At 42.0% G+C, this 19,915-nt stretch overlaps 1 long non-coding RNA gene across 1 annotated transcript, besides 1 other annotated feature; it reads left to right on the forward strand.

The window, feature by feature from the left end:
- Positions 1 to 1,453: 1,453 nt before the first annotated feature.
- On the forward strand, positions 1,454 to 17,365 carry LOC101927822 (uncharacterized). Its single transcript, NR_125424.1, has 4 exons — positions 1,454 to 1,498; positions 12,514 to 12,646; positions 12,996 to 13,174; positions 17,141 to 17,365. It is a non-coding gene; the product is annotated as an uncharacterized LOC101927822 (long non-coding RNA).
- Positions 12,205 to 12,705: an enhancer, noted in NCBI's record as "OCT4-NANOG-H3K4me1 hESC enhancer chr8:134909490-134909990 (GRCh37/hg19 assembly coordinates)". NCBI's record gives its function as "activates a minimal SCP1, AML or CMV promoter by ChIP-STARR-seq in naive H9 embryonic stem cells {active_cell/tissue: H9 hESC(naive)}" and the evidence as "EXISTENCE:reporter gene assay evidence [ECO:0000049][PMID:30033119]".
- Positions 17,366 to 19,915: the final 2,550 nt, after the last annotated feature.

The following is a 19,915-nucleotide window of genomic DNA, read 5'->3' on the forward strand; positions in this document are numbered from 1 at the left end:
GGGTGGATCACCTGAGGTCAGGAGTTCAATACCACCCTGGCCAACATGGTAAAACCCTGTCTCTGCTAAAAATACAAAATTAGCCTGGTGTGGTGGCGGTCACGTGTAATCCCAGCTACTTGGGAAGGTGAGGCAGGAGAATCATTTGTACCTGGGCAGCGGAGGTTGCAGTGAGCCAAGATTGTGTGACTGCACTCCAGCCTGGGCGACAAGAGCAAAACTCCATTAAAAAAAAAAAAAAACCACAAAAACAAGCAAACAAGAAAAAAAAAAAAAGTCAAGTTCAAGAAAAACAAGGTAAGTCTGAGAAAGAGCCAAGTAGAGCCTTAAAGAGATGTGACAAGTAAATGTAACAGGGTATCCTGGATGAATGCTGGAACAGAAAGAGAACATTAGGTTAAAACTAAGGAAATCTGAATAAACTGCAGACTCCAGTTGGCAATATGGTATCAATATCACTTTACTAATTGTAACAAATGTAACATGCTAATGTAAGATGTTAAAAATAGAGGAAACTGGGTGTGGAGTAAGTGGAAACCTGTAATATTTTCTCAAGTTTTCTGTAAATCTAAACTGTTCTAAAGCATAAAGTCTATTAGAAGAATAAGAAAGTCGGACAGTTATCAAACATCAGCCTATAGTAATGTCTTGAACTTCCTAATTTGGACCTTGATTCACAACAAACAAACAACAGCAACGAAAGAGTGAGAGAGAGAAAGAGAAAGGAGGAGGGAGAGAGAGGAGAGAGACAGAGAGAGAGAGAAGGGGGAGTAGAGTGAGAAAGAGACAAAAAGAGAGAGCAAGAGAGAGAGACTGGAGAAGGAGGGAGGGGAAAGAGAGAGGGTAGGGGGAGAGAGGAGAGAGGGAGGAGAGGAGAGGAGAAAAAAAAAAAAGAGAGAGACAGAGAGACTGAGAACCAGGACTCACACCCAGGGCTGCACCTTTAAGTAAGGCTATACTTATAACCTGTGAAAAACAAAGTATTTTTGTTTCTTCTACTGATTTTCCCTTCTCATAGAAGATTACTCCCAGAGCTTAGTTTAAGTAGCAAATTCCAGTTTAGCCTTAATCTTTCAGGTTTGGGAGACTCATCTCCCTTCACCCCAAGCCTAGCTCATAGTAGTGATTTTTATTCTGAAGAGGGAAATCAACTAACAAACAGGATGAGTGAGGACAATATCCAGATATTAGCTCCTCCTCATCAGCCACAGAAGTTTGTGTCTACTCTCTAGCTCCACCTACTGGACCTTGTGTAAATCACCTGAATAAATGCACAAGCGCTCACTGCAAGACCCCATGCTATACAAGGCACTGAGGGAAAGGAAGCAACATTATTCTTTCAGGGACTGCTAGGATTAAAAGAAACTTTTAAGGCGAATCTCCTCTTTTACTGAAGAGAAAACTAAGTGCTAGATGCATTGGGCATTTGCTGCATGTGGAGTCAAATTGGCCAGAGTTTGAACCATGGTCCTGCCACTTCCTGATAATGGCACCTCAGGTAAGTCACTGACTCTCTTTGGAATTCGACTTCCTCCTCTGTAAAATGAGGATAACAAACCTATACTCCGTGGTTGTTGCTATTGTCGTTTTTTATTTTTATTACTTAGTTATTAACCTTTAATATGAGGGCAAAGATATTTTTGGTAGATATTTCTTGATGGATACTTGAACTTATAACTGTCTTTTGGTCCACATACACACACATGTGCACACACACATTCACACATATACATCATCCTTCTCTTGGGAGTTTTGGAGAATGGACAGACAGCAAGACTTGAGTTGGACCATTTCAGTCTAGGCTGGGGCAGGTAAGGAGGAAAAAAGGCAAAAGAAAGACAGCTGGAACCAGTAAGATTAGCAAAAGTGAACATCTGGCTCCATCTCACTGTCACATTGCATGAAACCCATTATATATTCACGCATTCAAAAATATTGACTTCATACCTTCTATGTGGGTGATCTCTGCCCTCATGCCACAGCATCACAGCTATTGGACTTTCATTGCAAAGAAATTCCTATAAGAATGGTTTTTGGTTTCTCTAGTAATATTCTCAAAATGTGAGTGATTGTCTGGCAATCAGTATCTGATTAACTGAGAAGTTCAATCTTTAGGCAAACGTGGGTCATCAGACTACTATTGCTCCAAGTCTGTAGTTATTAAGATCCTAACTAACTCCCCTAACCCCACAGCTTATGGGCAGCAACTTTCAAACTAGTAACAACAAATCTGAATGTAGCTTTGTTTCCAGGGATCAGATGTTCTACCCGACAGATGCCCTCATTCTGGTTTTTCTCTTAGTTACACTTTCCAGCCACTGTCACCTAATGGTAGGACATAAGGATTTCTACATTGTAGAAGCTCAGTTTATGTCTGTTGAATGAATGAATGAATGAATGAATAAGTGAATAAATATTAGTCTCTACATAATGTAATAGTTGTAAATTAACAGCAAGAGACAGGTCGCCTCTCCACTAGTCAAATGGAGATTTTGACTTGAAGATCAGACCTTGGGGTTGTACGAACACCAGGAAAACTTCACCCATTTGCTTGTAAATGAAACACAGAGACAGCCTCAGTTTCTTATGACTCAGTACATGACACCCAGTTTACTGCTTGCTTGCATACCTTTTGAAGGTCATATTGCAATTTTTACCAATATACTTGCTTATATTCTTAGTTAGATTGTTAACTACTTTTGAAAGAAAAATCCTCAGAACATGTTCTCAAACTAAGGCACGGGGGTCCTTACCCATCACTCTGGCTCTTGCTTCGACCCTCATTCATTAACTCTTATCTGCCGAGAGTCCACTGTGAGCCAGGCATTGTGCTAGGCTCTTTGAAATAAGGATCTACACCTTTTATCACAACATTTTTTTCCCTCTCATTCCTTCATGAAGTCATTGCAATTTGTGTCTTTATCCTCCTACCAACATAAATGTGTCTGATAAGGCAGTGGTTCCCAACCTTTTTGGCACCCAAGACCGGTTTTGTGGAAGACAATTTTTCCATATATTGTAGTATGGGGGATGGTTTCGAGATGAAACTGTTCCACCTCAGATCATCAGGCATTAGTTAGATTCTCATAAGGAACAAGCAACCTAGATCCCTCAAATACAACCTCTCACAATAAGGTCCACGCTCCTAAGAGAATCTAATGCCACCACTAATCTGACAGGAGGCAGAGCTCGGGGGTAATACTTGCTTGCCGGCCACTCATGTCCTGCTGTATGTCCCAGTTCCTAGCAGGCCATGGACCAGTACTGGTCCGTGGCCTGGGGGTTGGGGACCCCTGTAACAAGGGAAACCATTGACCGCTTTGTTGCAAAACCTAATAAACACATCCCTTTATTACTCTATCAGACTTCTCTGTGGTATCCAATTCCATTTACCATTCCATTCTCATAGAAAGTCTTTACTTTTAGCCAGGAGCAGTGGCTCATGCCTATAATCCCAGCACTTTGGGAGGCTGAGGCGGGTGGATCACCTGAGGTTTGGAGTCTAGACCAGCCTGACCAACATGGAGAAACCTTGTCTCTACTAAAAATACAAAATTAGCCGGGCCTGGTGGCGCATGCTTGTAATCCCTGCTACTCGGGAGGCTGAGGTGGGAGAATAGCTTGAACCCAGGAGGCAGAGGTTGCAGTGAGCTGAGATTGCGCTGCTGCGATCCAGCCTGGGCAACAAGAGTGAAACTCAAAAAAAAAAAAAGCCTTTCTTTTTTCTGCTTTCCATGTCAATACTGTCTTCTAGTCTTTTTCACTTTCTTTCTGGAGCTTTGAACCAACAGATCCACAGTAGCCTCTCAAGCATTGTAAGTTCAACATATCTGAAATTAAACACATCACTACATTCCACTGAAAAAATGGTACTGAGAATAAAGGGGTGTTTTCTGAATGGGGCACTCAGATTGGGTCGAAGTGCAGATGGTTGCATTCCAAAAAGATTTTGAGATCAAAGATGATTCCACGACTCCAAAACCAAGTGGTCAATGCAAGGATCTAGGTGCAGAATAGGAGGAGATGGCTGTGAAAACAGGAGCGCTGCAGCTGAGTGGGAGATGGACGGCAATATTAGAAAATTAAAATGCTGACATGGAGATGCTAATGAAGTAATTTTTAAGCTGCTTTATATGGATGCATGAAGTTCGTTTAAATGGGCAGGCTGTCTGCTTTCAAAGCCCAAGTCTTTTAAACTATGAGAGATTTCAGGCAGGGGAAAGTAATATATGGCCGATGAAAATGATATTAATGGAAACCCAATAGAGCTATCCTTGAAATGGGCCCTGCAAACTCTACAGTAAAGGGAGCTTAGAATTCTCAGTGCAGAGAAACAAACACATTGGTGACCACATGCACGGCAGTCTTCTCTTTCTAAACGAATTTGACTTCAAGTACAGAAGTCCTCATAGCCGTATGCTGTAGACTTCCAACTGATAGAGTCCAGGAAAATAAAATTGGCAAGAATTGTCTTACATGTTACATGCTTTTGCTTTAGAGGAATGAGAGGAGAGAGAGAAAGAGATAGAGCAAGAGAGAAAGAGAGAGAGATATGTGAAAAGGTTAATTAGTATTTAAACACACAGTTGTGTTTTCTATTTGGTCTGACTGGGAAAATAAATTATGTACTTCAAAGCACAGGCTTGCAGGCTATAATTGAAAATAGGCATGGTGAGTACAGCTTTGCCAATGTGGCACAAAAAAACAAAAGAGAATCAAATAGAAACAAGCAGAAGAGTTACCCCCCACACCAAAGCCTGGGGCTGAATGAGAAAGCGGAGAGGGGGCTGCAGCAGCCGAGAAGCTCGCTTTTTACTCTGGCCCTGCCGCTTTTCTCAGGTCACATTGGGTAGGTGACCTGGCTTTTCTGAACCCTGGGATTTTCATTTATAAAATGATGGTAATAATGTTTTTTTCTCAGTGTGTTGTTAGGAGTTAATGAGATAGTGTTTGGGAGAAGGGCTGGCATGGTGTCAGGCACAAAGTGGTTATTCAGGAAGTGCTTGTCCCCAATAAGTGTCTGTTCAGTCTACTTTCATCTCCCTCGTCTCTGAATTCCTGTAATTTTATAAAAGCTGGAAGAAGCCCCTAATGAGATGGTGTCTCCTATTGTTCCTTAATTGTATCATGTTTAGGTTGCATCCTTGTCAATTCAATCCAATTTCATTCCATTTACTTTAGCTCAGTTAAAAAATATTTGTTAATAAGTGTGTTCCTAGAACAATGCTTGGGAATACAAACATGAATAAGAACCAGTAAATGCCTTCAAAGACCTTAAGCACATTGTGAGAAATAAGAAAAGTATTCAAGGAGCTCCAATCAGCATTTGGACACCTGTTATTAATCAGTGGGGGAGCTCCTACAAAGACGTGAATCAACACGTCCATCATCATTTTCATAGCAATCTCATGAAGCGGTGACTGTACAGATCGGGAAACTAAGACACAGAGAAGGTAACTGACTTGCTCAAGGTCAAGACAAGAGGATGGGCCCTGAATCCACATCTGCGTGCCGGAGGCTCCTCTGCGCTTTGGTTTTCTCCAGGACTTCTGTACCACTCCCGCTCAGCCCAAGGCATCTCTTATCTTCCAGGGCTCAGTGGTACCGGTGTGCTAAAGCCCAGCTATTTGCAACTCTTCATGCTAAACCCATGGGATGAAGACATACATAATACATCGAATATGCTCATTGCTAAAGACAGTGGCATTGGGGTTCTCAACAAGAAGACTTCCTTTTTCCATGACCATCAGGGAAGCGCCCTAATATAGTTTGCATATTTGTCCTTGCCGACATGACATATCACATTGAAATGTAATCCCCAGTGTTGCAGCTGGGGCCTGGGGGGAGGTGTCTGAGTCATGGGGGCAGAGCCCTTATGACTTGGTGCTGTCCTTGTAGTAATGAGTGAGTTCCACCAGATCTGGTTGTTGTAAAGTGTGACACACTCCCCACCACACAGCTCTCTCTCTCTTGCTCCTGCTTTCACCATGTAACATGCCTGCTCCTGCTTCACCTTTTACCATGAGTAAAAGCTCTGTGAGGCCTCCCCAGAAGCCAGCAGAAACCAGAGTCATGCTTTTCTGTACAGCCTGCAGAACTGAACCAACGAAACCCTTTTTCTTTATAAATGTCTTTCTTTCTTTCTTTCTTTCTTTCTTCCTTCCTTCCTTCCTTCCTTCCTTCCTTCCTTCCTTCCTTCCTTCCTTCCTTTCTTTCTTTCTTTCTTTCTTTCTTTCTTTCTTTCTTTCTTTCTTTCTTTCTTTCTTTCTTTCGACAGAGTCTCACTGTTGCACAGGCTGCAGTACAGTGGCACAATGATAACTCACTGTAGCCTTCACCTCCTGGCCTCAAGCAACCCTCCCACCTCAGCCTCCCATGTAGCTGGAACTACCATAACCTGCTAATTTGGATGTTTTTTTGGTAGAAACAGAAAAAATTTCCAGCCTCAGAATTTTTTTACAGCAATGCAAGAAATGAACTAACTCATATCCCAAAGGCAAGTCCCTCCCCATATAACACTCCATCTACAGTTTACATGCACCACCTCTTTTTTTTTTTTTTGAAAAAACAAAAAAAACAAAAAAAATAAAGTGACTCTCAGCATTGTCATATGTTACCAAGGTTAGTCTAGGAATACATTACAATTTACATTAACAAAACCATGCAAAAAAAGACTTTTCCGTCTGCTCATCTCTGTATCATCAATGCCTAGAAGAAGGCACCTAACAGGAAGGTGCCGGATATTTGCATTCACTGCAAGATGATGACGATTTCCATTCTTTCTGCTGTTAAACTTTATTTCCAATATTCACACTCAACTAATTATTTTTCTAACAAATTCTACATTTATTCTTGATCTCAATCATTCTCATAAGGCACATATTATCTCACTTTACTCATTAAACATCCCAGTATCTTCTTTGTTATTAATTTTAATTTCACCAACTGTAAAACACACAATAGCAATCATTATTAATTTCTTGAAGTCAATTGTTAAATACGCTTTCCACTATATTTTACTACTTTCTGTGATCACCTGTATTTTCTCCATCCTGATCCATCCTCTTGCTGATTTTGTTTTTCAGTAAGGGCCAACGAGTAGTGCATTTTTTGTATTCTACACGTCTTTATTTAACTCTCATATTAAATAATCGTTATGCTGAATACAGAGCTCTAGGCTACCATACAAGTGCTCAAAAATGGATGCCTACTATTTATTGTTTATATTAGATTGTTAATCATTTCTCCTCAGCACCTTCCTGATGATACACCATCTTTCATGACATCTGTTGTTGGGGAAAAAAGGTCTACTGAACGTATAATTGCCATCCCTTTATAGGTAACCTCTCCTTTTCCCTGATGACTTTGAATACTATCATTTTCACTTTGATGGTCTGAGGCTTCTCTCTGAAAAGTCTAGTCAGGGGCTGCCTGTAATCTACCCTTTGGGCTTGCCACCTATGGGGTGCTGAGGGGCATCTCCTGGCACTCTTGTCTTGGGGCTGGAGCCATCAGTATCTGGTGTCAGCTCCTCATCCTCTCCTGACAGTGTGTCCCCAACACACGCACCTCCTTCCTTTCAGTCACGTGGAAAGATCCATGGTGTTTCCTCACATGCCAGGTTCTTTCACAGCTTCTCACCAGGGCCGGGGCTAGGGTGAGTCATGTGAGGCACCCAGGGTACACGACTGAAGGAGGCTCTCACTCCCATGCACTGGCCCTGCACTTGCACCACCCTGGAAGCTAAAGTCATCCTGAGTTAGCAAATAAGAAAACCAAAGCAGCCCGGCACAGTGGCTCCTGCCTGTAGACCCAGCTACTCAGGAGGCTCAGGCAGGAGGATTGCTTGAACCCAGGAGTTCAAGACGAGCCTGGGAAACACGCAAGACCTGTTTCTTCCAAAAAAAAAAATTGGCTGGTTGTGGTAGTCCCAGCTACTTGAGAGGCTGAGGTGGGAGGGTTGCTTGAGCCCAGGAGGTGGAGGCTGCAGTGAATTATGACTGTGACACTGTACTCCAGCCTGGGCAACATTGAGAGTGTCTCAAGAAAGAAAGAAAGGAAAGAAAGAAAGAAATAGAAAGAGAGAAGGAAGGAAAGGAAAGGAAGGGAAGGGAAAGGAAAAGAAAGGAAAGGAAAGGGAAGGAGAGAGGGAGGGAAAGAGAGAGGGAGGGAAGGATAGAGGAAGATAGGAAAGAGAGAGAAAGAAAGAAACAGAGAGAGAAGGAGGGAGGAAAGAAAAGAAAGGAAAAGAAAGAGAGAAAGAAAAGAAAAAAGAAAGAGAGAAAGAAAAGAAAAGAAAAGAAAAGAAAAAAGAAAGAAACCAACGCAGAGGGAATTAAATACATTGCCCAAGAGTTGGTGGCTTATCAGAGACAAAACTTGGATTGAAGCTCTGATCAATCTGAAGTCAAAGTCATTCTTTCTAACAATCCTGGGCACAAATCATTATGCAGCTCCTGCTCAGTGAGATGGGGCTGGAACAACTGCCATACACAGGCGGAATGGGCATGGGATGCAGGAGGGTTCCTTGTTTGCCCACATGCAGGGCTCACTAGCATGGAGGCATCATACTGCATTGCTCTGTTTTTAGCTACAGTTTGGGTTTCACTTCTGCATCAAAAAGTCCTTCTGGAGCTATAGACTTTCTGACGACTAGGAGGGGTTGGGTGTTGCTGCTCAGAGAGGCCCATGTCCTGCAGACTCTTGCTATGTCCACCTTTACTCAGGTTCTGAGCCTCTGTACTTCAAAGACCAAATTTGGCCATGGTTTTTAGAATCACAGATGGAAGCCAGTGTCTATCAGCAAAAAAAAGTTGTGTACATGGAGCTCTGGGCTAAATTCCAGCTCTTACACCACATGCGTGTGTGCATACACACACACACACACCCCCCACAAGCACACACACACACAGGGGCATTGAACAATATCCTATTGCAGACTTACTGAATAACCTGGAGGCATGACATTTATTTCTTCTCTCAGAAAATCAGGTTTTTATTAAGTAGCTAGTATGTGCCAGGATCATTTGTGATATATATATATATATATATATTCTGGGTGAATAAATACATCAAAGTGGGGTAGGATGAGAATCACAACACAATGCCATGCTCAGTAAAGCCTGGTATTTATCTTTACTCTCTCATCATCCCAAGACTGCCGCATGCCGAAGACCCTTACCCTAGCTGTTCCATCATACCTATCTCCCTACCACCGACTTTCAGTTTCTCCTTTCTCCCACTTCTTCCTTCCAGATTCATTGTGTTAAAGTTCAGTTTTGATCGTGTGATTCCCTTGCCCAAAAATACTTATTGACTCCCCTATTGCCTACTTGATTATGTACCAATTATCTGGCTTAACTCCCAAGTCTATCTATCTGGGAGATCTGTCCTTCAATTTTTACCTCTGAAAGCTCCATTGTGTTTACCTTCATGAGGCTCTTCCTAAACCCCCAGAGAACAATGTACAGCATAGCCTTCATGCTGGATCCAGCTAGCGGGTTCATCCCTCAGCTCTTCTATTTACCAGCTGTGGGATCTTGGGCAAGGTGTCTAGGACAGCACCAGTTTCAGAATGGCATTGTGAGATGAGATGCATTGACTCAGCGTGAAGTCCTCATAACACTGCCTGGCACATGCTAAGTGCTCTGCAATATTTGTGTCCTTGCAATGAAGTCCCTGGGCACTCTGTTTATAATAGACTTATTTTTAGCTGTATGCCTAACATTCTAGATAATTGTATATTTTTTAAAATCTTCTCAACTCTTGGAGGATGGGGACAGTGTCGTGTTAATCCTCTACAGTACCTACAACAGGCATTAAACTAACACCAATGAATGTCTGTGAAATGGAATTATTTATCAAATGAACATCTAGAATGTATATGTTCAGCTCTGTTGGGTTGTGCCAATAGCACATTTGGATGAGTCAGTCTTCTTTGTTAGCTCATTTATTCCACACTTGATTATAAACACTGTCCAAGAAGCCTACATGACCTCCCATAGAAAATGAGGAATAAGTGGGAGAGGCCTGCTGTCCCAGGGTCCTATAACACTTATGCCAGACCAGTCTTCAGAGAGGCTGGAATCCACCCCCCAGGTGCAAATCTGATATCTGGGCTTGGAAATTTCCATAGTTGACTCAAGGTTTCATGGCTGCCTATAAGTAGATCTGAGTTCCCCTTCCATTCTGAAAGTTCTCCCCCAAATGGAGGAGTGAAGCAGCAGATTTCTGCTTTCTATAAGAATTCTAGAATACTACAAATTCTTTCATAATTCCTCTTGTAGATGATTTGAACATCACTTTCAAGTGGGATGGAAATCAGATAACCATCATGGCTCTGAGCTTGACATGTGGCCAGCTGGACCACCAGCCTTGTATTTCAATTCCAACTTCTCCATGTGGCTCCCAGCAGGGCTGGTAACTCTCTAGAAATGAGAGATATATTTTCCTCACTGGACTATTTAAGGTTTCCCTCAACCCCTTAGGAAATAGCAATAGAGTTGATGTCAGAACCATCTCCTTTGCTGTGAAGTTTATTGAAGTTATGCACAGTTACATCACCTGTGATGTAATAAATACCACCTCACCACATGGCGTGTGTTGTCTTTTACTTTTAAAGTTTTATTTTTGACTTTTGTGAAGTGTAGATTAAAAGACCCCTTCAGTTAGTTCAAATCAAAACCATGCCAGTCCCCATATCTCATGCATTCCAAATACCTACATGACTGCTAGTGGTCGTGTCGACTTGGACAGCTGTTTTGGAAATCAATGTGGTAATATTTGTCAAGACTCTTCAGGATCTCAATTACTTTATTTCAGTAATTTCACTTCTAAAAATTTACCCAGTGAAAAGAAGTAGAAATGTAGACAAAGACCTATATGTGTGTAGGTATGCATTTGGAAGATCATCTTTTTGGTAAGAGCACAAAGTGGAAACAACCTATCTAACAATATCGTGTCATTAAAATGACAGTACATTGGAAGGCTAGGATATAATGCAGCCGCTAAAAATGACATTTATAATGAATGTTTAATGATGAGGCGCAATATCATGATGTGACATTAAGTGAAAATGCAGAATATAAAACGGTATGTGGATCTCAACTGTGATATTTTACACATGCATTTGATTAAAATGTATTTTTTTCGTAAAAGAACAAGAATTAATATATGATGGATCTAGGTTAATGGTTCCCAACTGGAGGTGATTTTGCCCCCTAGGGCAATGTCTGAGGACATTTTTGACTGTGATGCCTTTGAGGAGGGGAGACTGCTGGCCTTGAATTGTAGAGGCTGGAGATGATGTTAAACAGCCTATGAATTGCAGGACAGCCCCCCGACGGCAGAGAATTTTCCAGCCCAGCATGCCAATGGTGCTGAGTTAGCAAACTCTGTGTCTTCACCTCCTCTCAGACTTTTTCTAACATGAGTAAATTTCCTCATCTCTTCCTCCCTCTTTTCCTCTCTTTCTTTTTCTCTCTCTTCTCTTTCTAATATTTATTAAGGCCTTAGTATAGGCCAGGCGCTGTCTTAAACATTTTACCACGTATTAGCTAATGTTAATACACAACAGCCTCATGAGGTAGGAACTGTTATTGTCATCCTAGGTGAGATAACCTTTCAAACTGTTTTGTGGTTTCAAAATAATTAATCAAGAGTGCTTAGTAGCACAGTGTCTGATACACAGATAAATACATACATACATATATGTGCATGTGTATGTATACACATACACAGAAGGAGTGTATATGTTACCTGTGCATATTATGGCAAGATTATAGAAATGACTAGTTTTGGACAATGGAATTGGAAAAAAGTTTTGTGTTTTTTCTTTATACTTTATATTTTTCTATATTCACACATTTCTATATTTCCACATTTTCTTCCATACACATAATTTATTTTTGTTACCTAGACAACCTGATAGTATATTAGAGCCCCAGAGGGCTTAAGGGCTGTCTATGAGAGGAACAGTCCCTGTTACATGAGAAAGTTTAAAGACACTCTATTCCCATCAAGCCACATACTTCACTAAAATAGAGCACTGGATCACATTGTCAAAACAAAACTTCAGCTTCCTCTGATTCAAGGCAGTCAGCATTAGGGCCACAGATCCTCTTGTAGCAATCAATTTGCTTGTTATATTTTGCCACGGCTACCTCCCTTGGGATTAATCATTTCCTATTGATCTCATTATGCAACAGAAATCTTTTTCATTTATCCTTTGAATGACCCTTCTCATTTCCTCTCAGTCAAATAACACTCTAGTAGGGCAGACGTAGGGTTTTCAACTTTGTTTACATATCAGATTTATCTGGGGAGCCCTTAAGAAATAAAAATGACCCATCCCTATCTTGAGAGATTATGATTTGACTTCTCTGGAGCTGAGCACTATATTTTTAAACTTCCTAGAGCTTTTCATATGCAGCCAGGTTTGAGAATCACTGCCCGAGCTATAGTCATGCTTACAATTTTTGAACTGGCCCAAAGAAGAGGGAATTAACCTTTCAGATGCAGCCTACATCAAGGAAGCTGCCTGCTGTTAGGGGAACAGGATACCTGCAGAGGCTCCGGTCCTGACAATGCCTTCAGCTCCACCTCCCACCAAAGACCTGTGTGGTGTCAGCAGCAGCCCCATTTGCAGGTGAGGACAGAACTTAGAGCCCTGACTGTTGGGACCCTCTCCACCTAAAATGCAACCCCCTGAGGTGCTGAGGAGCACACCAGAGCCTTCTTCCACTTGCCAGCCCTTCAGCTATTTACAGGTGGGCCTCACATCCCTCCACAGTCTTCTCTGCCCCTCCAGATAAACATTCCCAGTTTCTTCAACCATCTCTCAGGGGATAAACATGCTCCTCACACATTCTGTTTCTCCTGGTTCCTGCTTTCTATCAAACAAGTTGTTTATATCACCTGGCTGATCCTTGCCATATGTTACTGCTCATTTCTGGAGTCTGAATAGTCTGGCTAATTATCATTTCTCCCATGGGCAGAACTTCCCAGAGCAGGTTATCTGCAATGGAAGCAGTGATGCAGCACCCACATGTCCCAGAGGAAGGGTTGTCAGCTGACAGCTCACAGCTGGATCACGCTGGGGGATTTTTTTTCTTTCCCCTGGAGAAAATGCATCTAATGACTGATTGAGATGACGAACAGAAGTCTGGCCCTTTGCGTAAGTATGAAAGGTCTTTGAAGGGCCTTGTCAACTTCTGCACTCCCCATGGAATCAGCTGAGATCTCTGTTTCAACTGTATGGCAAGTTAACCTTGCCCTCTGCCCAATTCTGCTTCCTTTATCACTTAGGTTGCTGATCCTGACAGTGCACCATGATAAACCTTCTGCATAGATATTTTCATCTCGGGGCCTGTTTCCCAGAGAGCCCAACCTAAAGACACCTGCTCGTCAATGCAAAATGAGCCTGTGAATTAACTGCCTTGAGTCAGATAGTTAGAACTCATGGTTGGCCATAACTTTCTTTAGGAAAAAACAGCCTAGGGACAAGGATAGAGCTGTTTCCTTTACAAAGGGGGGATAGGAAGGCCTGTCTCCATGACCATACCAGAAGAAAATGCTTTCGAATTCCTTTGCCACCCTGACTCCCTTCTCTGCTTCACTTTTGGTGGTTTCAAAGGTCTTATATAGGACTAGAAACTTCAGACGGGATCTGGATAGTGGAGAATGGAGATGGAACCTCACACCATAAATAATTGCCACTAATTTATGTACTATTCTAGCTCCAATAGCTACAGTCCTGTGTTTATTAGCCTAAATAGGACCTGAAGTTGTGTTGTGATCTTGGCTAGCCTTGTTTCTCTGACTATATCTCCTGACATAATCCTGTGTTGCACCCATTGCGATAGCTTGTATACTCTATTTACTTTAGTATAGCCAGTATATGCCATAGCCATAGTATAGGTTGTGCTGTCTGTAACTGAAGTTGCCACCTGGCTTGAACCTCTTTTTCTTTTCGCCAGCTATTTCCCCTGCCCACTTCAGTCAGCCTGAACAACTTCTGTACTTCCTTGACACCTCAATTCACTCATCACCTTCTTCTACATTCTTAGCACCTTTGCTGACCTCTTTAAGCTTAGATGGGTCATCCCCACTTTGTGCTCCCACCCTAGTTGCCCTGCAGACCTCCATCACAGCATTTGCCATTTTTCTTTGCAGGACCCTATCCTTCAGGGCACTGGTCACATCCCATCCACCTTTGTACCTCTAGCAGCTAGCGCAGTGGTCACATCTCATCCACCTTTGTACCTCTAGCAGCTAGCGCAGTGCCTAGGACATAGACAGTGGAATTAGAGTAAACTAAACTCAAATTTTATAGTTCTAATTTTGAGACTTTCAGCCTATTAGAGAGATACCAGCTCTGCCAACCTACCACATTGCCTTGTGATACATTAGGCAACTTTGCAAGCAGTTTCAAAGTTTCCGTTTTGTGACTGACCTAACTAACTCCTCCCTAAACCCACAGGAGGGAAGTGTGAAATGGGCTCGATGTTTACAGTAACAAAACTAGACATGCAAGTTGCTTCTGTTTGTTTTGATTCAGAAATATTTCAGCACAGAGCATTGGATTAAGGGGGATGCCTGGCGGAGGTGAACCATGTGATCATCCTGACTTTATGTTTGTGGCTACTCCTGAATCATGGCTTAGGAAAGGGGAATCCAAGCAGAGCACAGCAGGTTTGCTAAACTGGGGAGGCAGAGATTAGAGTTTAAAGTTTACAAAGTTTCAGGATGACAGAGAGAACAGAGCTGCATAAAAGAGCAGCTCCAGAAATTTATGTATCAGTCCCCTTAAGGCACTGGATGCAATTAAAGTATACATGTTTAGGGCAAGACTACCCAACCTTTGGCAAAAACAACTTCTGGAGAGCTACAAGATGAGCAGAGATCATTGATGATACACAGTGCTGAGAAATATAGGTGTTCCAATAATCCAGAGTGGAGAGAAGACCTCAACTGAGATCCAGAAAGACTACATCTGAGAAGCAGGGTTCCTCTCATCCTAGAGTAAGAGTACTCTAGAACGACTCTAGCAAAGCTTAACAACAAGCCTTAAAAGATCAATCTAATCTTCCAGCAAATTAACTGTCCGCAATAACAAAACTTAGCATTCTCTGAAAAAAACAACAAAATGCAGACTCTCAATGTAGCGTCACAATGTCTAGAATACAATAAAAATTTATAGACAAACGTAGAAGCAGGAAAATGCAATCTATGCAAACATAGCTAATGAAAGCTGATCCTAAGATGACTCAGATGTTGGGTCAAGAATTTTAAAGCAGCTTTATAAATATGTTCGAGTACATAAAGGAAAATGTAGTGATAATAAATTAACAGACGTGGAATCTTAACAGAGCAATGTAAATTATAAAAAGGAACCAAATTAAAATTTTAGAACTATAAAGTACAATATCTGATGTAAAACATTAACTGATGGGCTTAACAACCAACTGGAGACAACAGAAGAAAGGACTAATAAACTTTTACAAATTAATAGAAATTTTTCAGCAGAAAACAGCTGGCAGAAGTGTCAATATCTGGTAAAACTAATATTTATTTTAATATTAGTTTTGCCTTAAAATACTTCTCTCTCTCTCTCTCTCTCTCTCTCTCTCCACTCAGTTCTCTCTTTTTCTTTCTATTTCACAGTGATAACTCCAATTTTAATTTAGCACCATAGGGTTGATTCTAGCTTTCTCTTTCCTATATTTGTCACTCCCTTCTCTGACGGTGCAAAATCTAGGTCCCATTTTCTTTAATACTATTACTTATTGGATCAATCCTCCACATATGTTTCAATCATATGTATCCCACACCATCACCACCCTCTCTCTTGTGCAGGTGCCCTCCTCACTCTGCTTAGGCTCTGAAAGCCCATGCCAAACCACTGCCCTCTGTGGACACTGCCCTTAACATTCTCTAGCTTAGCTGCCTCATTGTGTTTCCTCCCCAACCCTTGCAAGTGGAAGACTCAACATTATTAGACCACTTGGATTTATGAAACATGCCAGACTCACTTGCATTTCTGCCCATCCTCAAATTTTCATTCCCTTTGCATGGAATATCCTCTCTGACATGACCAATGGGCAGAGTCCTCTTTTTAAATTTGAGTTTAAATATTTCCTAATCTTCAAAGCCTTCTTCTGTGCTGGGGATGGTTGCAATGCTCCTTTATCCTAGTCTTAATCTTGCATGCCCCTCCACTGCCCAGGTATTTCCAGACCCTTGTGCACCCTGGTGCACTCTGAATTCCTTGCAGGGTGAGCATCATCAGCATCTCACACATCAAAGATGCCTGATGGTGTGGCCACCGAAACTTACCCCTGTTGCAGCAGCACCAGGGATGTGAGAATGGCTGTGTATGGCGAACAATGTGTGAAGTTAATACACCAGCTTCAAGCGTGTTTTGGGGCACCTGCATATCTATCTCTCATGCCTTCCGCTCTACTGTGACGGGTCAGTTTCCACCCCCTGCCGCTTCATTGCTGGAGGATCCTAATAAATTCAAGATCATTTTACTCCTTAGTTGTTTTTCAGGCTTTGGACAAAGTCTGCTACCCACAGTGCAGTTTTTGTCCTATCAAATAACTTGGGAATAATTCTGTCTTCACAGTTAAATGAATATGAACCTTTGAAATCCATAAAATAAATAGAATGAAAATTTAGCCCATCAGATTTGGCAGCTTCAAAAAACTCACCTAAACTTTCTTGTGCCTCTTGGATTCCAGTTTCCAGCCTGAGGCGGGGAATGAGAGACAAGCTGATGTATTTAATACTCATGAGAACCACACCAAGGTTGGAAAGGGAACCCCAAGAGAAAGGTTGTGTGAAGAAATAGGTGAGAAGGGCCTTCTTTCTGCCTCTGAACATAACACGCAGGAAGAGGCTGGTTTTTAGTTTGGGGCTAGTCTGCATTTCTTCAAGGGGCAAAGTAAAGAAAGAGGTTTTGGTTGCAGGATTCAGGATTCCCTGAAAGATAAGGGTGAAACACTCCCTCTCCCCACCTAAGCCGCCACCATCTTGGGGCAGCCACCATCAGATCTCTCTAGAATCCTGAGGGGCCTCTCACCTGGCCTGCCTGATTTGAATCTCTCTCCACTTTGATCAGGTAACTTGTCTCTTTCAGGTATCTGGGCTGCTGACCCAATAAAATGGAGCCCCTGTGACCTGCTTTCAGGGCTTTCACAACTGGTCCCGCATGACGACCCTGCCTGACAACCCCAACTTGGCTTCAGCCTTCCTCTTGCTGGATGACTTCAGCAAGTCAGACACTCTCCATGCATGTGCCTTCTCGTTTATAAAACAAAGACAGGATTATTGTGAGAATCAAATAAAATAATGGATATAAGCATTTGTTGATTGTCAAGTGTTAAAAAAGTTGTTATAGTTATTGTTGTTATTACAAAAACTCAATGAGACATGTTAAAATGAGTTTCTCAGTGGTTTGGATAGTTAAATATTATAAAAATTACTTGAGAGACATGTGGAGCCTCTTTGAGTGGATCATAAAATCAAAAACTGAGAAAGACCGTGGTGGTGATTAAATCTACCACCCCAAACCATGGCTTTATGATGACTATCAGTATCTTAGGGTTAAGTACATGCCTTTATCAGTTCTATGACATATGGAGCCTAAAGGAAGTCCAGGATCTTGCAATCTAATCCTGAAAATTCATAAATGAGGAAAGAGAGCCCCCAAACAGCATGGTTTGCTCAACGTTGTACAGCTAGCAGAAGTGCAAATAATAATAAAAGTAAAGGACAGTACACTTTCAGTGAAACGCCATTCTTACATGACCTCACTCCGGCTTCAGAACTGCTCAGGACGGACATTAACTAGCTTGCCAGAGTTTCTCAGATACTCATTTTTCAAGCCAATCCCTGAAGATAGGCTACAGACATTCTTCAAAAACCAAACAAACAAAACCAAACAAAAATTCTTTAAAGGTTTCTCCCCCCATCCAAAAATGGAGATTTAAATGTTCAGGGAAACCATGTGCTGCTTTTATCTATTTTATGATAATGTTGGGGTTTTGCTAAAGACTCCCTTTGAAACACAGGGTCTGCTACTGAAAATGCTATGAAAATCATTGATCTAGAAGAAAACAAGTATGTGAAGGGAGCAAGGATAAGACTGCATGCAGATGGGTTTGTATGTAAGTGTAGAGGGGTGGCGTGTATTCAGATGGGAGCAGGGGAAAAGTCAATGTATTCATCAGATATTTTTCAAGTCCCTAACATGTAAATGTGTCAACAATGGGAAGTGGATTTTACAGTTCCCCAAGTACACCAGAAAGTATTTTCTATGCCACTCTCTGTTGCTAAAGCTCTTTCATAAGGCCTCCTGCCCTTGTCTAGCCAAGTCATCTGCAGAACACACATGGCTCTATTCTATGAGGACAGATGGATTTAGCCCTCAGGTAGGAGCAATGAACACAGGTTACTCTCTATGTTCCTATGGATGTTGCCATTGAAGTGCTCTCATGAGGAAACATATCAGGGAGTCCTTTTATTTTATCTTTTATTTTTGATAAGGGCTTTCTCTTAGAAAGAGAAGAGAGAATGCTGTGGATAATTCCAGTCAATGGGGCTCCAACATTTTTTATGTAAGAAAAACTTAAGATACTGTTTTATAAACTGCCTTGTCCCATGACCTACAGTAAAAAATGTAGTTTACATTATACTCCAATATGCACACATGCACACAAAAGACATAAAACAGAACCAAATATATTATACAATACTCACTACAGGCAATGCACTCATTCCATTCTATACTCTATAATTTTTGAACATCTGGAAAGTACCCACTAAATTGACTTGAGCATCCACTAATATAGCTTGTAGTTTTAAAATATTTACTAAAGGGCAACAATCTGAAAGTTGGCAGCTAGAGGACTAATCTTAAAACTGGTTTTGCACTGCGTGTGACAGTAGATTGAGACTATGTCACTGTCCATATCAGTGAAGGGAACAGGTAGAGATTATGGGGGAGCTTTTCACCTCCACTAGCTCCATGTCTCTCTCTGGCATGGCCACTGGTGCTGATGACGTATCGGCACCTGCTGATTTGCCACACATCGACTCCCCAAAGTGTTCCCAGAACAGAGTAACCAGGTTGGGAGGGGACTTCATATCTGGTCTTCTGAGGAGCTGGGTACTTAGGGGAAGAGGTGGCTTGGGGCAGTTGAGCATGGTTTGAGCATGGACTTCCAAGGACAGGGTCAGGAGGAAGTATGGAGACTCTAGGGAGAGGGACTGGGGTGCCCTGTGAAGGTGGGACCTTTTTGCAAGCCATCACTGCCTTCAGGGGCTGAGTGCCCAGGGAGGGAGTCAGTGTGGGGAGAGCAGAAGCCGTGAAGAGGCACTTCCAGGCAGGCTGTGCTGAGCCTAAATGCGTATTTCCTGCCTCTTTTGTGATGGTTATCTATCTACTGATTGTTAATATTAGCTGATTGTACAAAGAAGTCATTAGGTGTCAAGAGCTGTTCTAAGTGCTCTATATATAAAAACTCATGCAAGCCACACAAGAACCCAGGAGGTAGGATTTATTATTATCATCCTGCTTTACAATTGAGGAAATGGAAGCCTGGAGAGATTAATTGCCCAAGATTGCCAATTCAGGTTTGACCTCATGTGTCGGGCTCAAGAGCTCCCCATTCACCACAGATCCATGTGGATTTTTGCAGGGCAGCCACGTGCCCAGCATGCTGGCTGACACAGGTCAGGGACTGGGTGGACTCACCATTACCTGTAATTGTTCTCTTATAGCACAAACTATGAAGCAGGGATTGACAAGATGTAAGGCTGCAGAGACAGAGGACATGCGTGATACTCTGGGCCATCTACATCCTGCCTGAAACCTTATACTCTAGTCTATAGGTTGGGGTTTTCTAAAACA

Source organism: Homo sapiens, chromosome 8 (assembly GCF_000001405.40).
Source record: "Homo sapiens chromosome 8, GRCh38.p14 Primary Assembly".
Classification (NCBI taxonomy): Eukaryota; Metazoa; Chordata; class Mammalia; order Primates; family Hominidae; genus Homo; species Homo sapiens.